The 9,292-nt window shown below is 43.6% G+C and overlaps 1 annotated feature.

Annotated features, from left to right (window-relative positions):
* Positions 459 to 1,658: an enhancer, noted in NCBI's record as "CDK7 strongly-dependent group 2 enhancer chr5:32653566-32654765 (GRCh37/hg19 assembly coordinates)". NCBI's record gives its function as "activates an origin of replication core promoter dependent on BRD2, BRD4, P300/CBP, MED14 and CDK7 cofactors, with strong dependence on CDK7, by STARR-seq in HCT116 cells {active_cell/tissue: HCT116}" and the evidence as "EXISTENCE:reporter gene assay evidence [ECO:0000049][PMID:35650434]".

The following is a 9,292-nucleotide window of genomic DNA, read 5'->3' on the forward strand; positions in this document are numbered from 1 at the left end:
TCAAAGATTCAGTTTAATTATCTCTAAAATGGAGCTGATAATGCTTGCTTCAGAGAGTTATTATGATGAGATAATGCATGCACAGTATTTAACAGTTCCTTGTACTTAGCAAGTAAGAGCTCAAGAAGTAGTAGTTAATCTTATTATGCTATATTGCCTTCTTGGATCTCAATTCTGTACCCTTGTGATCTTGTAGGAGCAGGAAAACTAAGAGAAAAGTAAAGTATGATTTAAAAATAATATAAATAAACTTGGGGAAGGGGGAAACAGAGTGTCTAGCATAAGATAAAGATGATGTGTTTTGCAGGTGTAGAAAGCAGATCGCAATGGAGATTACAAAGTCAGAGAAATTAACTGTTAAACCAGTATCGGATTGAGAAGGAACATAACATTTTGACTCCCATGAAGCCTGAATGCTGCAGACATGTTGGTAAGCAGAGGGCAGAGGGTGTGATTGTCATTTTGGTGGCATCAGCAGAAAACAGCCAGTGGCTTTATATCCTCCTGATGATGACAAAGATTCTTTGCTCATCCAAACTTTACTAAGACTCCAAACCTTCTCCTAGGCCTGTCTGTACACTTCCTTGCAAAATCCAGTTTTAGCAAAGAACCTGTTAAGTCAGTTACCTACCTTGATGTCTGATCACCCTTGATATCTCATCAGGTTCCGCATCCTCCACCATTCCCCAGGTGCTGTCTGATCACCCTGACCTGTCTTTAGCAAGAATCCTGTTAGGTCAGTTTAGCCAGAATCCCCCGACCCCTGATATTTCCTCTTAGTAATTTTCAATCCCTGACCCCCACACTGCTCCTTGGCCATACATTCCCACTGGTCCATGCTGCATTTGGAGGTGAGCCCAATCTCTCTTCCACACTGCAAATCCCATTGCATTCGTCCTTACACTCATTGCAATTGTCCTGAGTAAACTCTGCTTTATCATACTTTCACAAGTGCCAGTGAATAATCTTCCTTAACAGTGATCCTGGAGAATACAAGAAAATAAAAAAGCCATTAGTTTTGGGATTTTTTTTTTTTTGGCTTGGAGGGGTCATGTGTCTTTATTTTTGTCTTGCAGGAGTCCAGCCCTTCTTTATAAGAGCACCCCAGCCTATGCTACAAGTGTTTCCCATAGCACACAGTCTTGGTGGGAGATGGCACCCACCTCCTACCTTGGAATCCAAAGGGATCCTTTTCTGTCTTCCAGCCTGTACTGACATACAGAGGGAGGCTGCAACTTGGACTCTGAAAACCAGACACATACCTTGGGCTTTGGCTTTTCTGTGAGGGATACAGTGACATGGGGACTGGCTCTTCCAGGGCAGGACTTTGGATGTTCTATTTCCCAGGCCTGGTTGTGAGCTTTCATTTTCCTCCGTTCTTTGAGCCTCCAATATCCTTCCAGTGAAATTCCTTTTTGCTGAAGAGAACCTGTTTAGTTTATTTCCTCTCAGAGGTAGGATCTGAGAAAAGAATTCAGGTGCAGTTAGTTTATCTTAGCTGGAAGAAACAGTGGTTAGGAGAGTGAAGAAGTAAGGTGGGGAGAAAAAGCTAATGTAGGGTGTGTAATCAGAGCTATCACCATGGGCTCCTGAAATGAATCAGAAGAGGGAAATTGTGGGAACATGAGTCTGAAAGTTACATCACTCAAGCAGCATAGGCACTCGGTAGTTATACGTCGACTTCTGTTGGTGCTAGCCTGAGGTCTCATTGTCTAGCCCTCCTGGCTGCCATCAGCACAGGCAGGGTGGCCTGCTGCTTTGAGGAACCGTCCACTCAAACAGATGCAGGTTCTGGCAGTTGACCCTGGGCTGCAACACACAGAGGGGGAAGCCCCTATGATAGGGCTGAGGCACTGACAGTCTCGTCTCCAGGGCCAGAGCCAGTTCCAGTTGAGATCAGGACCAGGACTGAGAAACCAGGGTGGCTGCTAACAGGCCAGTGACCCCAGCTCCAGTGCTGCCTCCCTGACATCTCCACATCTTCCTAATAGTCTCAGCTATGCAGGTGTGCCCCTCTGTCTAGATTTCTGGATGCCAGTGAGAACAGGTCAGCAGCTTGTATGCTGACTGCCAGGGCCTGGGGAGAGAGGAAGGCTCATTGACCTGATTTCCACAGCAGGAGGCAGAGCACTGAATGCCACCTGTATTTGGGAAGGAAGCAGTCAGGGAATAACCCTGACCAATATTCATCACAACCATCACTTTGACATCTCAATTTTCATGCACACCCGTACAATACACCCAAACCAAAAATTCATCTGCCTAACATAAAATTCCTCATGTACCTAAAAATGCACTCTCCCTTATCCCTAAAGAAGAATATTCAAAATCACATTGGTTATTGTATTAGTTTACTTTCATACTGCTATGAAGAAATACCTGAGACTGGGTAATTTATAAAGAAAAAGAGGTTTAATGAACTCACAGTTCCACATGGCCGGGGAGGCCTCCCAATCATGGGAGAAGGCGAAGGAGGAGCAAAGGCACATCTTACATGGTGGCAGGCAAGAGAGCATGTGCAGGGGAACTGCCCTTTATAAAACCATCAGTTCTCATGAGACTTATTCACTGTCATGAGAATAGCACAAGAAAAACCCATCCCCACGATTCAATTACCCCCCTGGACCCCTCCCATGACATGTGGGGATTATGGGAGCTCCAATTCAAGATGAGATTTGGGTGGGGACACAGCCAAATCATATCAGTTATGGTACTAGCTTCTGGATCAGGATTTCTTAATAGGGTCCATTATTTCTCTAAGTCAATAATGATCCAACATAATATTCTACAACTGATGGACCACAATGTAAAGTCATCAGCATAACTCATTCTAAATGTAATAGTGGAGTAAGCAGACAGAAAAAAGGGGAATTGGGTAAACTTTATATAGTGGGCAGAGTGAGATAGAAACATGGGTAGAGATTAGAACCCTCATATCTATACCAAATCAGGAGGCTGTGTATTAGTCTGCATGCTGCTGAAAAAGACATACCTGAGATTGGGTAATTTGTAAAGAAGAGGAGGTTTAGGCTCGGCACAGTGGCTCACGCCTGTAATCCCAGCACTTTGGGAGGCCAAGGTGGGCAGATCACCTGAGGTTAGGAGTTTGAGACCAGCCTGGCCAACATGGTGAAACCCCATCTCTACTAAAAATACAAAAACTTAGCCAGGCATGGTGGCAGGTGCCTGTAATTCCAGCTTCTTGGGAGGCTGAGGCAGGAGAATTGCTTGAACCTGGGAGGCAGAAATTGCAGTGAGCTGAGATCGAATCACTGCACTCCAGCCTGGGTTATAGAGTGAGACTACATCTCAAAAAAAAAAAAAAAAAAAAGAGGTTTAATGAACTCACAGTTCCATGTGGCTCGGGGGGCCTTACAACCATGGTGGAAGGTGAAAGGGATGTCTTACATGGCACAAACAAGAAAGCATGAGACCCAAGCAAAAGGGGAATCCCCTTATTAAATAACCAGATATCATGAGACTTATTTACTACCAGAACAGTGTGGGGGAAACTGCCCCCAGGATTCAATTATCTCCTACTGGGTCCCTCCCAAAACATATGGGAATTATGGGAGCTACAATTCAACATGAGATTTGGGTGGGGATGCAGCCAAACCATATAATTCCTCCCCTAGCCCTTCCCAACTTTTATAGCCTCACATTTCAAAATCAGTCATGCCTTCCCAACAGTCCCCCAAAGTCTTAATTCATTTCAGCATTAACTGAAAAGTCCACAATCCAAAGTCTCACCTGAGCCAAAGCAAGTCCCTTCCACCCATGAGACTGTAAAATCAAAAGCAAGTCAGTTGCTTCCTAGATACAATGGGGTACAGTCATTGGGTAAATATGGCCATTCCAAATGGGAGAAATTGACCAAAACAAAGGGGCTACAGACCCCATGCAAGTCTGAAATCCAGCAGGGCAGTCAAATCTTAAAGCTCCAAAATGATCTCCTTTGACTCCATGTCTCACATCCAGGTCATGCTTAATGCCCATGGTCTTGGGCAGCTCTGCCCCTGTGGCTTTGCAGGGTACAGTCCCCTCTCCTGGCTGCTTTGATGGGCTGGCATTGAGTGTCAGTGGCTTTTCCAGGCACATGATGCAAGCTGTCAGTGGGACTACCATTCTGGGGTCTGGAGGACAGTGGCCGTCTTCTCACAGCTCCACTATGCAGTGCCCCAGTGTGGACTCTGTGTAGGGACTTCAACCCCACATCTCCCTTCCATGCTGCCCTAGCAGAGGTTCTCCATGAGGGCTCCACCCTTGCAGCACGCCTCTGCCTGGACATCCAGGTTTTCCATACATCCTCTGAAATCTAGGTGAAGGTTCCCAAACCTCAATTCTTGACTTCTGTGCACCTGTAGGTTCAACACCATGTGGAAGCTGCCAGGGCTTGGGGCTTGCACCCCTTGGAGCCACAACACTAGCTGTACCTTGGCCCCTTTTAGCCACAGCTAGAGTATCTGGGACACAGGACATCAAGTCCCTGGGCTGCACAGAGCAGGGTGGGGGATCCCTTAGCCCTGACCATAAAGCCATTTTTTCCTCCTAGGACTCTGGGCCTGTGATAGGAGGGGCTTCCACAAAGGTCTCTGACATGCCCTGGAGACATTTTCCCCTTTGTTTTGGTGATTAACATTTGGCCCCTTGTTGCTTATGCAAATTTCTGCAGCCAGCTTGAATTTCTCCTCAGAAAATGGGTTTTTCTTTTCTATTGCATAGTCAGGCTGCAAATTTTCTGAATTTTTATGCTATATTTCCTTTTTAAAACTGAATGCTTTTAACAGCACCCAAGTCAACTCTTGAATGCTTTGCTGCTTAGAAATTTCTTCTGCCAGATATTCTAGATCATTTTCCTCAACTTCAAAGTTCCACAAATCTCTAAGGCAGGGGCAAAATGCCACTAGTCTCTTCGCTAAAATATAGGAAGGGTCACCTTTACTCCAGTTCCCAAGAAGTTCCTCATTTCCATCTGAGAGTACCTCAGCCTAGATTTTATTGTCCATAGCACTATTAGCATTTTGGTCTAAGCCATTCAACAAGTCTAGGAAGTTCCAAACTCCCACATTTTCCTGTCTTCATCTGAGCGTTCCAAACTGTTCCAATCTCTGCCTGTTACCCAGTTCCAAAGTGCTTCCACATTTTCAGGTATCTTCACAGCAGCACCTCACTCTACAGGTACCAATTTACTGTATTAGTCTGTTTTCACACAGCTGATAAAGACATACCTGAGACTGGGTAATTTATAAATAAAAAGAGGGTTAATGAATACACAGTTCCACATGGCTGGGGAGCCCTCACAATCATGGCAGAAGGCAAAAGGGATGTCTTACATGGTGGCAGACAAGAGAGAATGAGAGCCAAGCAAAATGGGAAACCCCTTATAAAATCGTCAGCTCTCACAATACTTATTCACTACCAGAAGAACAGTATGGGGGGAACCACCCCTGTGATTCAATTATATCCCACTGGGTCCCTCACACAACATGTGGGAAGTGTGGAAGCTACAATTCAAGATAAGATTTGGGTGGAGACAAGCCAAACCATCTCAGGCTGTGATTGGGCTTAGGAAACTTCACCATGCCATGGTCCCTTTTTGTCTAGCCAGTGTCTTTACCAACTGATTTGACACAAAATGTTTGATTCATGGAGATCTGAGCCAGATATTGCCAGTGTTCCAGGGGTTCTAATGGTCTCCCCTGTCTTCTTTCAAATGTAATTAATTTATTTCTCAAAGATGGGATCTTGCTATGCTGCCCAGGCTGGTCTTGAACTCCTGGTGATGCAGGAGTTTTTCTCGACCCCTTCATTAGACTTGCTATGAGGGTGCCCCATTTACTTGGCTCACCATGCTCAACCTGTTTTTTTTTCTTTTTTCTTTTTATTTTATTTAAGTTCTGGGATACATGTGCAGAATGTGCAGGTTTGTTACATAGGTATGGGCCATGGTGGTTTGCTGCATCCATCAACCCATCATCTAGGTTTTAAGCAGTGCTTGCATTAGATATTTGTCCTAATACTTTTCCTCCCCTTGTCCCTCACCCTCTGACAGGCCCCCATGTGTGAATGTTCTCCTCCATGTGTTTTCATTGTTCAACTCCCACTTATGAGTGAGAATATGTTGCGTTTGATTTTCTGTTCCTGTGTTAGTTTGCTGAGAATGATGGCTTCCAGGTTCATCCATGTCCCTGCAAAGGACATGAACTCATTCTTTTTTTATGGCTGCGTAGTATTCTATGGCATATATGTGCCACATTTTCTTTATACAATCTATCATTGATGGGCATTTGGGTTGGTTCCAAGTCTTTGCTATTGTAAATAGTGCTTCAATAAACATACATGTGCATGTGTCTTTATAGTAGAATGATTTATAATCCTTTGGGTATATAGCAGTAATGGGATTGCTGGGTCAAACAGTGTTTATGGTTGTAGATACTTGAGGAATTGCCACACTGTCTTCCACAATGGTTGAACTAATTTACACTCCCACCAACAGTGTAAAAGTGTTCCTCTTTCTTCACAGCCTCACCAGCATCTGCCATTTCCTGACATTTTAATAATCACCATTCTAACTGGTGTGAGATGATATCTCATTTTGGTTTTGATTTGCATTTCTCTAATGACCAGTGATGATGAGCTTTTTTCCTAGGTTTGTTGGCTGCATAAATATCTTCTTTTGAGAAGCATCTGTTCATGTCCTTTGCCCACTTCTTGATAGGGTTGTTTGTTTTTTTCTTGTAAATTTGTTTTAAGTTTCTTGTAGATTCTCGATATTAGACCTTTGTCGGAGGGTAGCTTGCAAAATTTTTCTCCCATTCTGTAGGTTGCCCATTCACTCTGATAATAGTTTCTTTTGCTGTGCAGAAACTCTTTAGTTTGATTAGATCCCATTTGTCAATTTTTGCATTTGTTGCAATTGCTTCTGGTGTTTTAGTCACAAGGTCTTTGTCCATGCCTATGTCCTGATGGTATTGCCCAGGTTTTCTTCTAGGGTTTTTATGGTTTTGGGTTTTACATTTAAGTCTTTAATCCATCTTGAGTTAATTTTTGTATAAGGTGTAAGGAAGGGATCCAGTTTCAGTTTTCTGCATATGGCTAGCCAGTTTTCCCAGAACCATTTATTAAATAGGGACTGCTTTCCCCATTCCTTGTTTTTGTTAGGTTTGTTGAAGATCAGATAGTTCTAGATATGTGGTGTTATTTCTGAGGTCTCTGTTCTGTTCCATTGGTCTATATATCTGTTTTGGTACCAGTGCCATGCTGTTTTGGTTACTGTAGCCTTGTAGTATAGTTTGAAGTCAGGTAGCATGATGGCTCCAGCTTCATTCTTTTTGCTTAGGATTGTCTTGGCTATATTGGCTCTTTTTTGGTTCCATATGAAATTTAAAGTAGTTCTTTCTAATTCTGTGAAGAAAGTCACTGGTAGCTTGATAGGAATAGCAATTAATATTTAAGTTACTTTGGGCAGTATGGCCATTTTCACAATATTGACTCTTCCTATCCATGAGCATGGAATGTTTTTCCATTTGTTTATGTCCTCTCTTATTTCCCTGAGTAGTGGTTTGTTGTTCTCCTTGAAAACGTCCTTCACATCCCTTGTAAGTTGTATTCCTAGGTGTTTTATTCTCTTTGTAGCAATTGTGAATGGGAGTTCACTTATGATTTGGCTCTCTGATTGTCTATTGTTGTTGTATAGAAATGCTTGTGATTTTTGCACATTGATTTTGTATCCTGAGACTTTTTTGAAGTTGCTTAAGGAAATTTTGGGCTGAGACAATGGGGTTTTCTAAATATACCATCATGTCATCTGGAAACAGAGATAATTTGACTTCCTCTCTTCCTATTTGAATACCCTTTATTTGTTTCTCTTGCCTGATTGCCCTGGCCAGAACTTCCTATACTGTGTTGAATAGGAGTGGTGAGAGAGGGCATCCTTGTCTTGTGCTGGTTTTCAAAGGGAATGATCCCAGCTTTTGCCTATTCAGTATGATATTGGCTATGGGTTTGACATAAGTAGCTCTTATTATTTTGAGATTTGTTTAATCAGTACCTAGTTTATTGAGAGTTTTTAGCATGAAAGGATATTGAATTTTATCAGAGGACTTTTCTGCATGTATTGAGATAATCATGTGGTTTTTGTCATTGGTTCTGTTTATGTGATGGATTACATTTATTGATTTGTGTATGTGGAACCAGCCTTGTATCCCATGGATAAAGCTGACTTGATTGTTGTGGATAAGCTTTTTGATGCACCATGCTCAACCTCTTGTGGGAGGGAGTGTGTGAGAGAGTGAATGCAGGATCTGGCCAGCCACTTTGGGCACCAGTAGGAGCAGGCTCCATGCAGGCTCTGTGGTGGCACCCATGTGGGGGTGGCTTTGACCCCTGAAACCCAAGAAGGAGTATTACAATGCTGTCTTAGCTCCACCACCTGTGGACAGTGGTGTGTTATGAGCTCAGTGGCCCCTTGCCTCATAGTGTGGAATGGCTGCCCTCCGCCAGCAAGAGCAAAGAGCTGGTGTGACAGCTTTTTTTGGGTACCCACATTTGATAGGTCCCAGGCTCTTGTCCAGCATCCAAGAAGAATGAGGTTGCATGGACACCTGAAGGAAGGTGAAGGTGGAGCAATTTATTTAGTGATGGAGAAGGCTGTCAGTGGAGAGGGGAGCTGGAGAGGGGATGGGATCAGCAGGTAATCTTTCCTAAAGTCTGGCTGTCTCTGGCTGGCTCTTTTTTGAAGTTAAGTCATCTCTCCTCTGAAGTCCAGCTGTCCCTCTGAAGTTATGTTGCCTCTCTCCAGTCAAGCTGGTTATCTTTCTCTACTGACTGAGTCTGAGGTCTTTATAGGCACAGGATGGGGTTGGGGCAGGCCATAGGTAGTTTTGGAAAAGGCAACATTCAATTGTCAAAATGACATTATTCAGAAAGAACCAATTGAGAGAGAGCAGGCAAACAGGGATCGAAGTGTTCACTTTGGGCTGTGGGCTTCAGGCTTTTTAACTTGAAGGTGGGGTTTTGCCCGGGACCTGCCCCTGTCTGCCTAGAGTTTTTTTGCCTCCTTCCTCTATCATTGCCCCCTCTAAAGAGGCACATCTAACTGTCTCTTTTAGAATATGAATGATGACTGATCTTAGCTATTTCCTGCTGACAGGGGGTGTTGTTTTGGGGAAAACAGCAGTCAGATTTCCCTCAGAGGTCTACCTAAGGGTCCCTGGTAAAAGGGAGTCATCATCTGAGGCTCCAATTGCATGACCATTTGAAGTTTAATGGCCTCTAGGCAAGAAGAAACAAG

Source organism: Homo sapiens, chromosome 5, assembly GCF_000001405.40.
Source record: "Homo sapiens chromosome 5, GRCh38.p14 Primary Assembly".
NCBI classification, from domain to species: domain Eukaryota; kingdom Metazoa; phylum Chordata; class Mammalia; order Primates; family Hominidae; genus Homo; species Homo sapiens.